At 34.8% G+C, this 21,479-nt stretch overlaps 1 annotated feature.

Moving 5' to 3' along the window:
• Positions 19,967 to 20,513: an enhancer, noted in NCBI's record as "OCT4-NANOG hESC enhancer chr2:140242349-140242895 (GRCh37/hg19 assembly coordinates)". NCBI's record gives its function as "activates a minimal SCP1, AML or CMV promoter by ChIP-STARR-seq in primed H9 embryonic stem cells {active_cell/tissue: H9 hESC(primed)}" and the evidence as "EXISTENCE:reporter gene assay evidence [ECO:0000049][PMID:30033119]".

Genomic DNA, 21,479 nt, shown 5'->3' with positions numbered 1-21,479 from the left:
CTTCCTTGAATGTATGGTAGAATTCACCGGTGAACTTATCTGGACCTGGTGCTTTCTGTTTTGGAAGAGTTTTAGTAAGTTCAGGCTGCTATAACAAAATTATATAACCTGTGTAGCTTATAAACAAAAGGAACTTATTTTCCATAGGTGCAGAGAATGGAAAGTCTAAGACCAAGTTGCCAAAATTTTGGTGTCTGAAGAGGGACAAAGATAGCTTTTCATAGATAGCTTCTCCCTGTGTTCAATACACTGTGTGTATTGAAAGGGGAAAGATAGCTTTCTGGTGTTTCTTTTATAAGGGTACTGGTTCCATTAATGAAAGCACTACTCTCATAATCCAATCTCTGAATTAGCCCCATCTTTGAATACCATCACATTGATGATTAGATTTTCAACATATAAAATTTGGGGGGGACACAGACATTCAGATCATACCATTCTACCGCAGATCCACAAAATTTATGTCCTTCTTGCTTGTAAAACACATCATTCCATCCCAATAGCCTCAGAAGTCTTAACATGTTCCAACATCAACTCAAGTCTGAAGTCCAAAGTTACGTGAAAATACTATCTAAACTAGATATGGGTGACACTCTCTAGTTGTGAGCTTATAAAATAAACAGGTTATGTTCTTCCAAAGTACAGTGTTGGTACAGGCTTAGGATATACATTCTGATTCCAAAAGGGAGCAATAGGAAAGATGACAGAGGTAACAAGTCCCAAGCAAGTCTGAAACCAAACAGGGCAAACAAAATTAAATATTAAGGATCAAAAATAATCTTTTTTTACTCAATGTCATGCTTTCTGGAAATACAGGATAGGGGTTGGGCACCAGGATCCAGGCAGCCTTGTCCTTCAAAATCTAGATGGAGATAGCCACATCTCAACAGTTCATGCACTGTATGCTCTGGGGAAGATGAGATGGCACACAGTGGACACTGCCAATGTTGAGTATTTGTGCCCTCTGGAGAGGTAGCCAACTCAGTCCACACTGCACCTGAAACCACTGGAGTCACACCTAGGGCAGCCAAGGAGCACTGTGCTAAAATTCATGGAGCAGAGCCTTGAAATGGCTTCGACCTCCAGTTCCTTGCACTCTGGACCTATGATGGGAGGTGGTAACTCCAGTAATTTACAAAATGCCCTCAGGATTATTCCTCTCTTGTCTAGATGAGTAGTCCCTGGCTTCTGCTGAAATAGCAAGTCCAGACTAATCTTATGAAAATCACTTGTCTCTACCTCTATTCTCTCCTGAACATATTTTATCATTCTTTGCAACGAGTAGGCTGAGAATTTTCCAAATTTTTAAGTCCTGCTTCCTTTTTGATTAAAAGTTTGGCCTTTAATCATTTCTCTTTTCTTACATTTTATTGTAAGAATTGAAAAGGGGCCAGGACACACTTTAAGCACTTTGCTTAGAAATTTGTTCAGCCAAATACCCAATTCATTGCTCATACCTTTTGCCTTCCGCAAAACACAATTTAGCCAAGGATTTTGTCAGTTTATGACAAGGATTGCCTTTTCTCCAGTTTCCAATAACATATTCTTTATTTCTGTCTGTAGGGATTTTTTCCCAATATTTACTGTGAGAACCTGAGTAAACTCCTGGAGGGTAAACTTATGAAAGTGTGGGGTCCCCCTATGACTACGTCCCTCTGGAGTTTTTAATTCTCATACTTGTCCACACCTAGCCTCCAGCAATGTCAAATACAGTTTAGGTTTTATTACCTTGACACTGGTTCCCATGGAAGTTTTTGCTCTGATATGTTGTGATTCCCTATATCCCCCTGTCAGTTTCTCCAGTTTTAAGGACAGTGGTTTGCCCTGTCATCTGACTTCTCTTATGGATCTAAGATTTTTTTTATTTTTCAGTTTGTTCAGCTTTTTGCTTACTATTAGGATGGAATGGTGACTTTTAATCTCTTTATTTACAGAACTCAAGATTTTTTAGATATGACACCAAAACCATGACCCACAAAAGAAAAAAAAATGTAAATTAGACTTTATCAAAATTAATACTTTTTAATCTTCAAAAATTTCTAAGATAATTAAATGGAGACATAGGATGGAAAAAATAAGCATTTGTAAATAATATTTTGATGAAGTACTTATATCAAGATTATATCAAAATGTCTTCAAACCCAATAGGGAAGCAAACAACCCACAAAAGGTCTGCAATGTATTGGTGCACTTTACTAAAGAAGATACACAGATATAAGCATGTGAAAAGATGTTTAGCTAAATCAGTCATTATGGACATATCAATACATATCTTTTAGAATGTCTCATAGAGTGTTTGCTAGTCAGAGTGTAAAATGACACAAGGTTTTAGAAAACTATTATATTTTCTTTTTTTTAACTTTTAATTTCAGGTTTGGGGGTACATGTGGAGGTTTGTTACCTAGATAAACACATGCCATGGGGGTTTGTTGTACATATTATTATATCATCCAGGTATTGAGCTCAGTACCTATTAGTTATCTCTTTTGCTCCTCTCCCTCCTTCTACCCTCCCCATTCCAAGTAGACCCCAGTGTCTGTTGCTTTCCTCTTTGTGTGCATAAGTTCTTATCACTTAGCTTCCACTTTATGTGAGAACATGTGATATTTGGTTTTCTGTTCCTCCATTAATTTGCTAAGGGTGATAGCCTCTGGCTCCATCCATGTTCCCATAAAAGACACAGTCTCGTTCTTTTATGGCTGTATAATACTACATGGTTTGTATGTACCATATTTTCTTTATCCAGTCTGGCACTGACGGGCATTTAGGTTGATTCCATGTCCTTCCATTGATGGGCATTTTGGTTGATTCCATATTGTGAACAGTGCTACAGTGAACATTCACATTCTTGTTTCTTTATGGTAGAATACTTTATGTTCCTCTGGGTATACACCCAGTAATGGGATTGCTGGGTCAAATGTTAGTTTGCTTTTAGCACTTTGAGGAATCGCCATACTGTCTTCCATAATAGTTGAAATAATTTACACTCCCAGTAACAGTGTATAAGGGTTCCCTTTTCTCTGCAACCTTGCCAGCATCTGCAATTTTTTGACTTTTTAAATTATAGCCATTCTGACTGGTGTGAGATAGGTATCTCATTGTGGGTTTGATTAGCATTTCTCTAATGATCAGTGATACTGAACTTTTCTTCCTATGATTGTTGGCCCCATGTATTTCTTCTTTTGAGAAGCGTCTGTTCATGTCCTTTGACCACTTTTTTATGAGTTGTTTTTCTCTTGTAAATTTGTTTAAGTTCCTGATAGATGCTGGATATTAGATCTTTGTCAGATGCATGGTTTGCAAATATTTTCTCTAATTCTGTAGGTTGTTTGTGTACTCTGTTGATAGTTTCTTTTGATATGCAAAGGCTATTTAGTTTAATTAGATCCCATTTGTCAATGTTTGTTTTTGTTGTAATTGTTTTTGGTGTCTTTGTCATGAAATCTTTGCCTATTCCTATGTCCAGGATGGTATTGCCTGGGTTGTCTTCCAGGGTTTTTATAGTTTTGGGTTTTAAGTTTAAGTCTTTAAGCCATCTTGTGTTGATTTTTGTATATGGCATAAGGAAGGGATCCAGCTTCAATCTTCTGCATATGGCTATCCAATTTTTCTAACACCATTTATTGAATAGGGAGCATTTTTCCCATTGTTTGTCTTTGTTAGCTTTGTCAAATATCAGATAGTTGTGTATGTGCAGTCTTATTCCTGGGCTCTCTATTCTGTTCCATTGGTCTATATTTCTGTTTTTGTACCAGTACCACGCTGTTTTAGTCACTGTAGCCTTGTAATATAAAGTCAGTTAGTGTGATGCCTCCAGCTTTGTTCTTTTTGCTTAGGATTGCCTTGGCTATTCAGGCTTGCTTTTGAATCCATATAAATTTTAAAGTAATTTTTTCTAGTTCTGTAAATAATGTTGTTGGTAGTTTCATAGGAATAGCATTGAATTTGTAATTGCTTTGGGAAGTATAGCCACTTTAATGATATTGATTCTTCCTATCCATAAACATGGAATGTTTTTTCACTTGTTTGTGTCTTCTCTTATTTCTTTGAGCTGTGTTTTGTAGTTCTTATTGTAGAGATCTTTCACCTCCCTGGTTAGCTGTATTACTAGGCGTGTGTGTGTGTGTGTGTGCATGTGTGTCAATTATGAATGGGATTGCCTTTCAGATTTCGCTCTCGGTTTGGTTGTTTTTGGTGTATAGGAATGCTAGTAATTTTTACACATTGATTTTGTACTCTACAACTTTACTGAAGTTATTAGCTAAAAGAGGTTTTTGGCTGACACTATGGGGTTTTCTAGATATAGAATCATGTCGTCTGCAAACAGAGATAGTTTGACTTCCTCCCAACCTATTTGGATGCCCTTTATTTTTTTTCTCTTGCCTGATTGCTATGGCTAGGACTTCCAATACTTTGTTGAATAGAAGTTGCTAGAGAGGGAATCCTTGTCTTGTGCTGGTTTTCAAGGGGAATGCTTCCAGCTTTTACCAGTTTAGTATAATGTTGGCTGTGGGTTTGTCATAAGTGGTTCTTATTATTTTGAGGTATATTCCTTTAATACATAGCTTATTGAGAGTTTTTAACATAAAGGGATATTGAATTTTATCAAAAGCCTTTTCTGCATCTATTGAGATGATCATGTGGTTTTTGTCTTTAGTTCCATTCATGTGATAGGTCACATTTATTTATTTTCATATGTTCAACCAAACCTGCATCACAGGTTATAAAGCCTGCTTGATCATGGTGGATTCACTTTTTATGTACTGACAAATATGGTTTACAAGTATTTTGTTGAGGATTTTTGCATTGATGTTCCTCAAGAATATTGGCCTGAAGTTTTTGTTGTTGTTGTTGTTGTTGTATCTCTGCCGGGTTTTGGTATTAAGATGCTGCTGGCCTCAGAGAATGAGTTGAAGGACTCAGAGAAGTCCCTCCTTCTCAATTTTTTGAAATAGCTTTCATGGAATGGTACCAACTCTTCTTTGTACATCTGTTAGGATTTGACTGTGAATCCTTCAGGTCCTGGGCTTTTTTGTTGGTAGGCTATTTATTACTGATTCAATTTCAAAGCTCAGTATTGGTCTGTTCAGGGAATCAATTTCTTCTTGGCTTAGTCTTGGGAGGGTGTATGTGTCCAGGAATTTACCCATCTCTTCCAGGTTTTCTAGTTTGTGTTTCTAGAAATGTTCATAGTAGTTTCTGATGGTTGTTTTTATTTCTCTGCAGTGAGTACTAACATTCCCTTTGTCATTTCTAATTGTGTTCATTTGGATCTTATCTGTTTCCTTCTTAATTAGTCTAGCCAGTGGCCTATTTTATTAATTTTTTCAAAAAACCAACACCTGGATTTTTTGATCTTTTGAATGTTTTTTTGTGTCTCATTTTTCTTCAGCTCAGCTCTGACTTTTGTTATTTCTCATCTTCTGGAGCTTTGGGGTTGATTTGTTCTTGCTTCTCTAATTCTATCAGTTGTGAAGTTAGGTTGTTAATTTGCCATCTTTCTAACTTTTTATGTGGGCATTTAGTGCTATGAATTTTCCTCTTAATGCTGCCTTAGCTATGTTCCAGAGATTCTGGTATGTTGTATCTTTGTTCTCATTAGTTTCAGTTAATTTCTTGATTTCTGCCTTAATTTCATTATTTACCAAAAAGTAATTCAGAGCATGTTGTTTAATTTCCATGTAAATGTATAGTTTTGAGCAATTTTCATTGTGTTGACTTCTATTTTTATTGTGCCTTGGTCTAAGAGTTTATTTGGCATGATTTCAGTTCTTTTACATTTGTTGAAGATGGTTTTATGCCCAATTACGTGGTTGATTTTAGGGGATGTGCCATGTGGCAATAAGAAGAATGTACATTCTGTTGTTTTTAGGTGGAGACTTCTGTAAAGGTCTATCAAATCCATTTGATCCAATGCTGAGTTTAGGTCCTGAATATTTGTTAATTTTCTGCCTCAGTGATCTGTCTTATACTGTCAATGGAGTGTTGAAGTTTCCCACTAATATTCTGTGGGAGTCGATGTCTCTTTGTAGGTCTCTAAGAACTTGCTTTATGAATCTGGGTGCTCCTGTGTTGGGTACATATATATTTAGGATACTTAGGTCTTGTTGAATTAAACCCTTTACCATTATGCAATGCTCTTCATTGTCTTTTTTGATCATTGTTCTTTTGAAATCCATTTTTTGTGAAATTAGGATTGAAACCCCTGCATTTTTCTGTCTTCCATTTGTTTGGTAGATTTTTCTTCATCCTTTTATTTTGAGCCTATGAGTGTCACTGTATGAATGATGGGTCTCTTGAAGACAGCATACCATTGGTTCTTGCTTTTTATCCAGCTTGCCACTCTGTGACTTTTAAGTGGGGGCATTGAGCCCATTTACATTCAAGGTTAGTATCGCTATGTGTGGATTTGATCCTGTCATTGTGCTGTTAGCTGGTTATTATGTTGGCTTGTTTGTGTGTTGCTTTACAGTGACACTGGTCTGTGTGTCTAAGTGTGTTTTTGTATTATCTGGTAGCAGTCTTTCCTTTCTATATTTAGTATTCCTTTCAAGTCCTCTTGTAAGGCAGGTCTGGTAGTAATGAAGTCTATCAACTTTTGCTTACAATAGTAAGCAACTTTTGCTTTACAATAGTAAAGTTTTGGCTTTGTGACTTGATTTAGCCAACAGAATATGGTTGAATCAACATTGTGCTAGGTCCAATCTAGGCTTTAAAAAAGCATTACAACATTTCTGCTCACACTCTTGGACCTCTACTTCCATGAGGCAAATAAGCCCAAGCTAACATGCTACAGGATGAGAGACCAAAGCTTGTTTCATCCATAGCTATAATAAAGCACCCAGCCTAAAGACCCTCCAATTGGTTGCAGACACTTGAACACACCTAGCTAACATCATCCAAGCCCAGCTCATACAAGAAGGACCAACCACCTGAACACAGACCTAAGTGCTGATGTACAGAACCATAAGCTGAATAAATTATTATTCCAAGTTCAGAGTAGTTTGACAAATAGTAAAAGTTAACTGATACATATGTGAAGAAGTTATACAGAATATAACACAGACTTGCAGAGAGAGAGAATATAAGATCGGCTGTGAGACTTCAAAGATAGCATTCAAAGATCTAATGCTCACTTTGAAATTCTTAAAGAAAACAATAGAATAAGGAAGAGATATTTGAAAAGATAATAATGCTTGTGGTGGGTTAAGTAGTGGCCCACACCATACCCCAAAGATAATTTCATCAAGAATCTCAAAATGTTACATCATCTGGAATAAAGATTTAATTCACAGATACAATTAAAATAAGGATCTGAAAATGAAATCATACTGGATTAGGATGGGCCATAAAACTAATCATCACTGTTTTTATAAGAGACTAAAATGAGAAGACACAGAGAGGAAGGTTACATGAAGACAGAGGCAGAGATTATAGTGATATATTGATAAGCCAAGGAGTGTTAAGAATTTCTGGGTTCTACCACATCCTAGGAGAGAGGCATTGAATGACTCTTCCCTCCGAGCCTCCAGGGGGAACCAACCCTGCTGACACCTTGATTTTGGACTTATGACCTCCAGAACTATGAGATAATACATTTCTGTTGTTTTAAATTACCCACTTTGTAGTAGTTTGTCATGGCATTCCTAGAAAACTAATACTCTGGTTAAGGAGTTTTAAAAACTAATGAGGAATATGAATTCTCAGTTTCAAAATTCTAACACATATTAAAAGAGTGAAAAGGAAAAGACAACTATACCTACACAAACTGGTTAACTCGCCATCAAAGATAAGGTTATATGACAAAAAGTCTCCTAGCCACCCAATTCTCTTCCTCCCTGACACAACTACTCTTATCATTTTGTTTGCATGTATGTATCCCCTGCCCTAGATTTTGTATTTGGTACAAAATTTAATATTTTTAAAGATACATTTCAGTATCAATTGTTCAAATTAAAAGTATGTAAATTTTCTCCAGATTGAGAATATTCTTAGTTCTTAGGGGATATTCATCTGTTTTTGTCTCTTAGGGTAAAGTGGGGGTACCTAGGCATTCTATATTGTGGTTAATTTTGGTAAACTTTCTTTTACCAACCTAAATATCCATAATCGGCTATTTTGGTTTAGGGGTGACAAAGTAACAATCCTCAGACAGCATTTATTAGAGGTGAGTTTGGTTTGGCTAGCATTGTGATATTTATTTATGTTTTTATTTTATATTAAAGTAAAACATTAATTTAAAATTCATTAGGCTGGGCTTGGGTTTTCTGGTTGTTTCACAGACCTCCATTGTCTAATTTAGACACTTAAGTTACCTGCTTGGTCTTTTCTAAGCATTTACATTTTCTGTAACTTATTATAACAATAACTTATTAATTCATTAACAGAATAATACCACACTGTTATAAGTGATATTGGGATAAACTTTTATAAGAAAGAAGCATGGTCTTGATAAATGGTTTAGTGGGAATAAAAAGGATATGCTACTTGATGCTATAAGAAATTTAACTAATAATACATAAGGAAAAAAACATCTGGGAGAAACTTTACCATAATGTTGGCAACAGTTATTTCTAGGACAAGATTGTAAATATTGCACTTTTTTTTCTTATGTAAATGTTCCAATTTTTATATAATAAAAATATATTACTAACATCATAAACTATTCTAAAAGAGGGAAAAAAGAAAACCATCTTTTTTTTTTCTCTATTGGACTTTGAACTGTATTTATTGATATTTAATTACATTCCATTTTCTGTTAGGAACAACACATTGATAACTAAAATGACCAATTTTTAAAAAACCTATAAACTAAAATACAATACTACTTGTATTGTAGAACAATCCCCAGCCTTTTTGGCACCAGAAGCCGGTTTTGTGGAAGACAATTTTTCCACAGACCAGCATGATAAGGGGATGGTTTCAGAATGACTAAAGTGCATTACATTTATTGTGCGCTTTACTTCTATTATTATTACATTGTAATATACAGTGAAATAATAATACAACTCACTATAATGTAGAATCAGTGGGAGCCCTGAGTTTGTTTTCCTACAACTAGATGGTCCCGTCTGGGAATGATGGGAGGCAGTGACAAGTTCTCATGAGGAGCGCACAACCTAGATCCCTTACATATGCAGTTCACAATAGGGTTTGCATTCCTATGAGAATCTAATGCTGCCACTGATCTGACAGGTGGTGAAACTCAGGCTGCAATGCAAGTGGTGGGGAACAGCTGTAAATAAAGATGAAGCTTCACTCGCTCACCTGCTGCTCACCTCCTGCTGTGTGGCCTGGTTAGGGATCCCTGTTGTAGAGGACCAATACATTGACCAATACAAAACTTTCAACACCTCTTTTTCTTTCAGCTTAAGGGATTTATTACAAATACAAATGGTCAAGAAAGATTAGAACTCTACAATGTTTTGAATCCCTACTTAATCATACACTTCCATTATGATTTTGGTAAAATTTCTAATCCCTTCATCTTAGTTTTCTCATCTGCAAAATCTACAGTTGTTTCAAAAAGGTTAAAAAGATAGTGTTGAGAAAGTGTCAGGTATGTTGTAGATGCTCAATAAAGTATGTATAACTTTCCTCGAGACTGAATTTTTCCTTTTCAATTGATATCAAATGAAGAAAATCTGAGCATTATAAGACACCAAAACTATGTTTCTTTAGTTTCTCTGGCTTTTTAAAAAGGGGTTATACTTCTTTGTGATAGATTAAGTCAGTTTTTAAATAATCACAATGACATGGATATATATTGCAATTGTTACATTTTTTTCTATATATTTTTATATTTCCAATGGTTGGAGACTGCATTTCTATTTTTCTGCACTCCTATTTACTTTACACACATTAACATATGCGTAATTTTTACACATACAATATACATCATATTGATGTAGCATGCAGGTAGCTCTCTAGGGTAACACTCTCTAGCTTTCCCTTCTCTGTTCTTTGAATACATAGTCACACAAAGATATTCATGTACAATAAAGCAAAAAGTTTGTAACAATGTAAAACATTGATTTACCATTTCCCTAGTTCTATTTGACTGTCCTTTTCTTCCCTTCTTCAGTTTTAGAATCTCATACTCATTGCAAGGCATTAATATTTTGAGTCACACTCTTAGAAATAATCCAAATGTCACATTCATTTACATGCACAATCTGCTTATTAGAATTCATATATATCCAGTTTTTAATGCTTAAATTGAATCACTTCTCACAAAAAAACTGCCCCAATACATACTTTTTAAAAATTTCACCCATCCTTTTATACTAATTTGATTCATGCCAGTTTTGATCTTCTGTGATTTGTGCATTTGTGCATTTGGGCATTTCATTGTTCAAAGGGCTAAACTATTAGTTCCAGTTACATGCTCAACAAACTTATCACTTGATAAAGGAAAAGGCACCGTAAACAAAACCCTGGAAGTAATTATATCCTACAAAGCCTTCTATTTTATATCTACCCTACTAGGTAAGTACCAGAACCAAGAAGAAAGAAACCATCAATATGCTCTCCTAAATAAATAAAACTACATAATTGTTTTAATGGTTCCTCACAAAGAGTAATTGAGATTTAGTATCACATTATGGTTTGAACTTTTATTGACTTTCTCCCGGCATAAACCAGCAGAGATATTTCTTTATAATGTTCAAATGTGCTTCTTTTTTTTTCTTTTCTTTTCAATTTTACTCTGGGCACTGATTTTGTTATTACACTCAATATGTTGTAGCATTTATGTTATTCAAACAATTTTGGCTTTAATAAATAAATCTATAATCTGTCACTCTTTCTATACAAAACCTAAAATAATTTTATTCCTCTGATTTGAAAATCCTAGCAGCCTTATGTCTTATTTATATGGTATTGACAGAGGCCATTCCCTTCCTGGAGCCCTGGGCATCTATAAATTATAGTAAGCACAGAGTTGGGTAATGAGATATGCTGATAAAAGTGATGTTAATAGAAAACTGAGAACATTTCACTCCGAAAATCAGGTTGAACATTTATATTAAAAGAAGCAATAAACACTTTCTTAAATCTATAAATGTATTTAACTATATTTTCTCTTGAATTTTTACTCTCGCTTCTTTATTTTATTGCAATGCATTTTTCTTACTCAAATGCTGAAATGCAAGATCCTGGTCAGGAGAAAACTTTCAGCAGTTTCTCTTTTCTTTTAGGCTTAAGAGGCTTATTATAAACGCAAGTGGTCAATAAATATCAGAACTTAGTAATATCACTGTGAATCCCTACTTAACCATAAACTTGCATGACTATTTAGGTAAAATTTTTAATATCTCTTCATCTTAGCTTCCTCATCTTCAAAATAAAGTTTAGAGTCACTTCAAAGAGGGCTAAAAAGATAGTGTTGGGAAAATGTCAATTGTATTGTAGATGCTTAATAAGGTATTATGACTTTCCCCTAGATTGATTAATTTCAAGTTGATTAGGCTTTTTGAGGACATTGTAAAGGTTGATTTCTACATAAACAATACTTCCAGTTCAGTTGTCCATTTATTTCAGATATTTGGGTGTCTAATCCCCTCTGAAATTCACCACTTATTGCTTGACTTACGTATCAATCCTTTTCTTCTACTAGAGTCTATGTTTTGCTCTTTAAACTGTGAAGATTGCCAGGTTAGCAACTGTGTCTTCCTTGTTCACTATTGCTACTCTGAGGTCTATCAATAATGCCTGAAACAGAGTTGATGCTCTAAATAATCTTTACTGAGTGAATTCAATGCTGAATTTCTTCTCTCTCCACCTCTCTCTCTCTCTCTCTCTCTCTACCTCTATCTCTTGTCCCTCTCCTCTACTACTTTTCCCATTCAAGTTAGGCATCCATCGTAAGTACTTTAGTAACACCCTCTAACACTTCTGTGGCACATGCCATATGTCTACTAGATTATAATCTTAAAGCAGCAACTGGCCTTCTGCAGTGTTTGCAGGTTGAGCCCATTTGCAGTATTAAACATATGACAGACTTTCATAACTCAGCTATTGAGTGAATAGGAAAGTAAGCAAAAGAATAATCCATTCGTTACTAAAATTTTAGTATTCAAAGAAGTTTAGGCACTAAAGAAAAAATGGAACAAGTTTGACAATGACTAGTGATGGGGTGGGTGATTGTGCCGTCCTTTCATCCATCCATCTACTCATCCATTCATCAATTTATCAGCTAGCAAGCAGGTATTTAGAATTTGTTTATGACATCAGCACTAGGCTTTGGGAGATGGAAATAAAGTATATAAAATATATGAGAAGTGGTTCCTAACCTTAAATTGTTCACAATATAAAAAAATGCAAATAATGCTAAATCATTTATCTGGAATTTTGACGATTCTGGACCAGCATTAAGTGGGTAATAAAATGTCATATCAGATTTGTACTTCAGTCCACGGGCTTGCAGTAATGAAATGCTCCTGATTGTAGTTATTTGAAATTATAACTCAACTGTCTAATGTACAAGCTAAGCTCATTGGTTTTAGCACCAGTGAGAATTCATGTACTTATTGCACATATAAGATAACATATTTAGAAATAAAAAATATAAGCAAGTAAATGGGATTTCCGGTAAATAACGTACTAAATTTACTATATTAATAAATAATTCCTACTCATTTGTTTCAGCAATGCTATCCATCCAAAATGTGCCAGGTCAGTTATGACTCCAATCCCAAATGTCATTCTTCTGTCAAAATATGGCAGTCACTGGTGTTAGATGTTTCTTCCAAGAACAAATTATTTCCGGCAATAAAAGCCCATCTGTTTATCCAATTTGTGAATGTGCTCTGCCTACATTATCATTTGCCCAACTAGCCTTGAAATAAAATATCATGACAAAATATTATAGGCCCTGCCATGACATCATTTCTCTACATAGCTATTGGAGGACAGCAATTTCTCTAGCTTGGGGAATGAAATACACTGAAGCTAACAAACAATTCACTCTCCAATAATAGGTGCCAACTCTGCTGAAATACTGTGTCAAGTACTGCTGGGGATGGCAAAGGTTAATTACACCACCTGAGCCCTCATGAAGATTACAATTTTCTGGGAGCCAGAGCAGTCTATTGTAGTACATTTATTATTTTAATTGATTTTTTAAAGACATTCTCTTTGAAATAAAACAATAAAATTCAAGGTCATTGGAATTAAAAAAAATAATGCTAAATATAGCAAAGATTCACTTACATTACACATAAAAATAAAAAGCTGTAAATACAGTCATGCTTCATATAACAACCTTTTAGTTAACAACAAATATTATATTTGTTAATGATAATAAATGACTATTTCTAGTTTATGTATTTACTATACTTTTATATGTATACTATATATGATTATGTATATACTATACTTTTTAGTGTTATTTTAGAGCCTACTCATTTTACTTATTTGAAAACAAAGTTAACTGTAAAACAACCTCAGGTCTGTCCTTCAAGAGGTGTTCCAGAAGAAGGCATTGTTAGCATAGGAGATAACAGCTCCATGGTGCTACTGTCCCTGAAGACCTAGCAGGACGAGATGTGGAGGTGGAAGACAGTCATACTGATGATCCTGACCCTGGGTAGGCCTAGGCTAATGTGTGTATTTGTGTCGTAGTTTTTTACAAAAACATTTAAAAAGTTAAAAAATCGTGTTTAAAATAGACAAAAGCTTACAGAATAAAGATACTTTAAAAGAAAATATTTTTATACATCTAAACAATGTGTTAGTGTTTTAAGCTAAGCGTTATTGCAAAGAGTCAAAAAGTTTTTTTAAATTAAAGTTTATAAAGCAAAAATGTGACCATATGCCAAGATTAATTTATTATTGAAAGAATTTTTTAAATAAATTCAATGTAGCCTAAGTGTACAGTGTTTATAAAGTGTGCAGTACCAAACAATATTGTCCTAGGCCTTCACATTCACTCATCACTCACTCACAGGCTCACCCAGAGCAAATTTCAGTTGTGCAAGTTTCCTTCCTGGTGACAGTCCTATACAGGTATGTCATTGTTTATCTTTTAGACTTTATTTTTACTGTACCTTTTCTATGTTTAGATACACACATCCTTACCATTGTGTTACAATTGCCTACAGTGTTCAGTACAGTAACATGCTGTACAGATTTGTAGCCTAGAAGCAATAGACTATACCATATAGACTGGGTGTATAGTAGGCTGTACTATCTAGGTTTGTGAATGTTCTCACAATGCTTAACAATGCATTTATCAGAATGTATCTCCCTTGCTTAGCAATGCGTGACTATATACTAATTAATCAATCATAGTGATAAGTCTCACACAATAGAGCCTTTGAAGTCATGTCTGTGAAGACAGTGACATAGAACATTTTACTTTTTACTTACATATATCCCTCCAAAAAAAAATTCTCAAATGTAACAAATTGGAAAGAAGATTGAGAAAAAAATCACATTGTCTGAAGTGACAGAACTGTAAATACAGGAATTATTTTTTATTTCTTTTCTTCTGTGTTCTTTAAATTTTTAAAAACACTTCATATCATGAAAAATCAAAATACATCCCACATAAATTTAGGCTTGCCCTTCTTGCCCTTCTGACTTACCTACTTAACTTGTACATAACCTGGGGCCCAAAGCCTCCAGATTGGCAGAAATGTTTTTTTTTTAAAAAAATAGGTTTATAGATGGAAATTTTTGTGCAGGACCCCTTAAATAAAGACAGTATTTTCGAGTACTTTATATTTCACCAAATGCTTTCAGAAATACTATGTCATTATCTTTTCACCAAATAACCCTGGACAATAGACATTATTCTTGTTTTAGATCAGGCTATTCTAACTCAGGTTAAATGGCTTGCCCCAAAGCGAGGATTTAGTAAACATCAGAACTGAGCTTCAAATCCCCCCCATTTCATAACTCTGGGTCTAAGGTGTTTATTCTGCACATATTGTCTCTCACTACAATAATAGCCTCTGACTTCACTTGTATGTTGGGACAAGTTATTTCAACAAAAGGAACATTTTAAACATTGGTTTCCAAGCACTTTTTTTTTTTTTTTTGCCCACGGTTATACATAAACTATTTGTTTTGCCTTTAAAAATAAAAGCCCATTTGACATTTTATTTAAAATAATGCATCCAATGTTCAATATAAACCATAATGTATCTGGGGTGGTTACTTCTAGGTCTCAAATGCCTCTTAACATCCCTTCTAGGTCATAATTCATAATGCTTTTCTCTGTCACCCCACAAAAAAAAAAGCAGGATAAAATGCAGTGTAGCCTAAGTGTACAGAGTTTATAAAGTGTACAGTAAAGTGAGAAAATGTTTTCATGAGTGATCTTAATGTCCAGGCTAATACAAGACATGTACAGGCCAGGCACAGTGGCTCACGCCTGTAATCCTAGCACTTTGGGAGGCCGAGGTGGGTGGATCACAAGGTCAAGAGATGGAGACCATCCTGGCTAACACGGTGAAACCCTGGAACCCAGGAGGCGGAGCTTGCAATGAGCTGAAATCGCACCACTGCATTCTAGCCTGGGCAACACAGCAAGACTCGGTCTCAAAAAAAAAAAAAAAAAAAAAAAAAAAAAAAAAAAAAAAAAACATGTATGATAACCACAATCCCCCACATCCAGTCCAAAAGAGAAATAACCTTCCAATAAATTTATATAAGGCATTTATTTTGAGACCTGCCAATAACTTATGCCTCTGTGTCACCTCATGCCTGTGCCACAGAGGACAAAACAGTAAATTAATTTTATATCATCTAAATAAGATAACTTTAATCAAGAGTATTTGTTCAATGACCAATATGTGGATAATTTTCTAACTTTAATTTTTCAGAGCTGTCTCTAGACTAATGGGTAGCAAACTCGTCTTAAAACAAAAGACCTGAATGTCACATAGAGCTATGGAAACAAGACATCACAAGCACTAATAGGATCCCTTGTTCAAGTCTTAGTATAATAAAATATTAATAATACTGCATAGCAATGGAAGAAATTATATATTTTTAAAAAGCTATTTGGTGCCACTACATGTTTCTGGTCTCCATCTAGTGTGTATCTTCTAAGCCATGGCCAAACCCTCCAGTTGTTTTGGCCAACATGTTCTCCAAGGTCTTTTCATCACTGCCCTTAACCTCTATGCCCCCAGGCTCATCATATTCAGCAGACAGAAATGCAATCAGGTATCATCTTTCTCAAATACAAAGCTTCTCTTACACAACTATGCAACCACATATTTGTTTTGATTTCTGTCTTTGTAATATTTTTCTTCATTCTCAGATGTAGTGTCCCTTCTATTCAAAGGCATTCTACTCTCTCTTCCTTGTACTTATCCACTTCCTAGGTCCTAGTTTAGATTTACATTTCTTTGTCTCTGTATAACCCTGAGCCTAAATCCTCCGCCAATAATCAAATATTTTTCTTGTATTTCTCATCTGACTTCAAAACATGATCTATTCTCATTGTTACCACTTTCTGACCTCATGTTCATTCTTAATCTATTGAATTCCAGCCTTGTCCCCTGACTCTACTAATATTATCTCTCACTAAAATCAAAAAGAGCATCCAAATTTTTAAATCTGGTGGATATTCCTAAGTCTTTATTATACTAAATCTTTGCATTGAATTTGCCTTAATTACTTCTTTCTGTTTAAAATGTCATGCTCCTCTCTTCTTACCAATGTTCAACCAAAACAGCATGGTACTGGTAGAAAAACAGGCAAGTAGACCAATGAACAGAATAGAGAACCCAGAAATAAGACCATACACCTACAAGTATCTGATCTTTGCCAAACCTGAAAAAAAAAAAAGGAACAAGCAATGTGGAAAGGATTCCCCATTCAATAAATAGTGCTGGGATAATTGTCTAGCCATGCAGAAGATTGAAATGGTACCCCTTCTTTACACCATATGCAAAAATTAACTCGAGATAACTTGAAGACTTAAATGTATAACCCCAAACTATAAAAATCCTGGAAGACAACTTAGGCAATACCCTTCAGGCACAGGCAAAGATTTCATAACAAAGATGCCAAAAGCAATTGCAACAAAAACAAACATTGACAAATGGAGATCTAATTAAACTACAGAGCTCTGCAGAGCAAAAGAAACTATCAACAGAGTGATCAGACAACCTAGAGAATGGGAGAAAATTTTTCCAAACTATGCATCTGACAAAAGTCTAATATTTAGCCTATATATCAGGAACTTAAACAAATTAACAAGAAAAAAACAACCCCATAAAAAAGTGGGAAAAGGACATGAACACTTTTCAAAAGAAATACATGTGGCCAACAATCATATGAAAACAAGCTCAACATCACTGATATTACAGACATGGAAATCAAAACCACAATGAGATGTCATTTCATACCAGTCAGAATGTCTATTATTAAAAAGTCAAAAAATAACAGATGCTATCATTTTATACTCGAACACTTATACACTGTTGGGGGGTGGGTGGAAGAGTGTATGATGATTCCATACACTGTGGAAGAGTGTATGATGATTCCTCAAAGACCTAAAAACAGAACTACCATTTGATCCAGCAATCCCATTATTGGGTACACCAGGATATATAAGCATTCTACATAAAGACACATGCACATGAATGTTTATTGCAGCACTATTCACAATAGCAAAGGCATGGAATCCACCTAAATAACCATCAGTGATAGAGTAAAGAAAATGTGGCACATATACAAAATGGAATATTATGCAGTCATAAAAAGGAAGGAGATCATGTCCTTTGGAGGGACATGGATGGAAATGAAGGCCATTATTCTTAGCAAACTAACACAGGAACAGAAAACCAAATACCACATGTTCTCACTTATAAGTGGGAGCTAAATCACGAGAACACATGGACACGCAGAGGGGAACAATGCACACTGGGTCCTTTCAGAGGGTGGATGGTGGGAGGAGGGAGAGAATCAGAAAAAAATAACTAATGGATATTAGACTTAATACTGGATGATGAAATAATTTGTACAACAAACCCCCATGACATAAGTTTACCTATGTAACAAACCTGCACATGTACCCCTGAACTTAAAATAAAAATTTACTTCTATGGCACCAGAACTTCCTTTCTTTCTGCACACTTCTCTGAGTATTAACTCTCTCCCAGAGCACAAACAAAATAATTTACTAGGCAATTTCATCAGTACCACCAAAAACGATTCCTATTTCACCATTCTATAAATTTTTTAAAGTTTAAAATGGAATCATGTTTAAAAATTTTATGGAAAACTAAAATTTTAAAACAAATTATAATTTTGAAATTGTTTTTTTAATATCAAACAAGTAATATGATAGATATATTTTGATAGTTTTGTTTCTCTTTTGGCTAATTTTAAAAATTAATTGATATTTGTAAAATCTATTTTAAGAGTCTTGAGACATTAGTTTTTATTCGAACACTGCCACTATTCTCAGGGGAACTATTTAACCTTTTCTTTGTTTTTACCATTCTATAGATTCATGAGTAAAATAAAATGCTATCCCTGCTTATAGATAATCAGGAATGAAATAAACATAAGGAAAGGAGTTCTCATATTTATAAAAGTATAAACTACAAAATTATGTTAATTTCTAATTCTAATCATTTTAAAGAACCAGAGCATGCTCTGCTTACCCTGGGAAACTACTTTCTTCTTTTTATTTCCAGATTGCTTACTGTCTGTGTGACTTATTTGTCATTTACTACCTAGAGTACTAGTAGGCTTTTCATCTGTATAGCTCTTATTTTACTAATTAGAATGTAACCCCCTTGGGAGGAGAACTACATTGTATTCTTACTGTATTTCTCAGGTTGCTTTTCAAAAATTAGTTGCTCAAAATTGTTTTCTGACTACTTTATTATATAATGTATTTATTAAAATACAGTGTTTTTTATTCCTACTAGAGCATCATATATAGATTTTTTCCCATTTGACATCTACTTAGAAGAAAATTACTGCCTGTTCAGTTTCTAGCATATGGAGGTAGAGGGAAATAACTGTAAGAATACATTTGTGTATAAAATGTGTCTTTAACCACTCACGTATTTTTAAATACCCTAGAAAGGGATTATTACAAATAGAGCAGTTTGGGAAATAAAAGTTTGGTGTGAATAGGTTTGTAATAGTTATCTATTGCTGTATAACAAATTACCCCCGTATTTAGTGGCTTGCCTAAAAACATAGTGACATTTGTTATAGCACAGAGGAATATGTTTCAAGTCCTCTGGCTCTAGGTCTCTATGAAGGTTGGATCAAGGTGATGGACAGTAGGGGCTACAGTCATCTTAGGCTCAGTTGGGGTTAGAGTCATTTCCAAGCTCAGTTAAGTGATTGTTGGTGGGGTTTAGATCTTCACAGTTCATTGGACTGAGGGCCTTAGTTCCTTATGAGCTGTTGATCAGAAGCTTCCCTCAATTCCCTGCTATGTGGCATACTCCAGAGAGCAGCTCCCAATATTGCAGCTGGTTTCCTCCAAGTGAGAAAACAACAAGGGAAGAGAGTGTGGGCTACAATGAAGTCAACAGTCTTTTGTAACCTATCCTAGAAAGTGACATCCCATAACGTTTACCTATTCAGTGCATTAGAAGTCAGTCAGTTGGTCTTACCCACATTCAAGAAAAGAGGATTACACTGGGGAGTGAGTACCAGGAGGAAGGGGTCACTGAGAGCCATGTTAGAGAGGTGCCCACCACAGGGTGATTTTATTCTTTCTTTCTAATGAGAGAGATAAAATTTGGGGATAGTAAAGCATGGAGGGATGAATTGGGAGAAACTCTCCTGAGCTGAAAATTGAAATCAGTATATGAAGAAGAAAAACTGTTATATAGAATATTAATAGGAATAATAACTTTTAAGTAACAATCATATCTAGGCTTTGTGCTAGACTTTATTGTCTCTAACCCATTACAATCCTTTGAAAGTGTGAACCCCTAAAGGTATTAAAGACAGGTCTCAGTTAATATAGAAAGTTTGTTTTGCCGAGATTGAGGATGCACACCTATGACATGGCCTCAGGAGGTCATGACAACGTATGTGCAAGGTGGTCAGAGCAGTTTTGTTCTACACATTTTAGGGAGACCTGAGACATCAATCAACATGTGTAAGATTAACATTGGTCCAGTCTGCTGGAAAGGCAGGACAACTCGAAGCAAAGGTGGGACAACTGGAAGAGGGGAGGGGACTTCCAGGTCAGAGTTAGATAAGAGGCAAATTGTTGTATTCTTTTGAGTTTCTGATTAGCCTCTCCAAAGGAGGCAATCAGATATGCATTGATCTCAGTGAGCAAGGGGGTGACTTTGAATAGAATGGGAGGCAGGTTTTCCCTGAGCAGTTCCCAGCTTGACTTTCCTCTTTAGCTTAGTGATTTTGAGGCCCAAAGATTTATTTTCCTTTCACAAAAGATAGCATTATTCATGGTTAACAAATTAAGAAATGGTAGTTCACAAAAGGAGAATGACTAATTAAGCCTCATTAATTATCAAGTGACAGGGCACAACCTATATTAGAACACAATTCTTCTGGTCTTCAAAACTCACAAATTTAAAAATAAGAAAACTAATATAGAGTTGGAGTATTTCATTTTTAACATAAAATCTCCTTTTATCATAGATCTGTATCTTCTTTTCTTTTTTTAAAAAAATTATAATTCAGATGCTTTAAAAAATGGCATTCTTCTGGAAATGGCATTTTTCTGGAAAACACAGCACATCAAGTTGCAATTTGGTGCTTGCTACTTTGATCAGTTTTCAATACTTCCTGAAAAGCCAAGTTTGTTTTGGAGAGAGATAAATGAAATGCTACTTAGGATATATCTGTGTGGGATGTGTGCTTTTAAGAGGCGGGTGGTGGTGGTTGCCATATCCTGGCTTATACGATGGAAGAAAGTAATACAGATATGGGATTCATGGCTCTGAGTCACACACATCACTGTAATTCTGGTAATATTTATCTCCCTGTTCGGGTAAGGTATACATCTTTATTTATATCTATAGGTAGAGCTATATTATCTGTCTAACCAGCCTCATCTCACATTCAAATATTGCCTAATAACCTATTACTTCATTAATCTTCACTACAATTTAATTTGAGGAATGTTAACTTAGCCTAATAATAAAAATATAAGTAGTACAATTTATCAAATTAACTGAATAAAGAAGAAAATCATATGATTATCTTAATAGGTAAATAAAAATTATTTGTTAAATTTAAAAACTCAGTCATGATAACTACTCATTGAATTAAATTAAAAAGAAAACTCTTTGCCCTGATTAACAGTTACCTGTGAAAATTATACCACTTTACACTGAAGGTGAAATATTTAGAGCTTTTCCTAAACTGGAGGAAAAAACAACGACACGTGTTACCAACATTTGTATCCACCTTGAATTTGAGAAGCTAGAATTGTGCAATAGAGAAAGATAAAAATAGGATGTAAAACAATAAATGAAACAGATAATATAAAACTGTAATTATTTATAGATGAC

Source organism: Homo sapiens, chromosome 2, assembly GCF_000001405.40.
Source record: "Homo sapiens chromosome 2, GRCh38.p14 Primary Assembly".
NCBI classification, from domain to species: Eukaryota; Metazoa; Chordata; class Mammalia; order Primates; family Hominidae; genus Homo; species Homo sapiens.
Note: the sequence above shows the minus strand (reverse complement) of the source record. Positions and strands in the feature narration are given on the sequence as shown.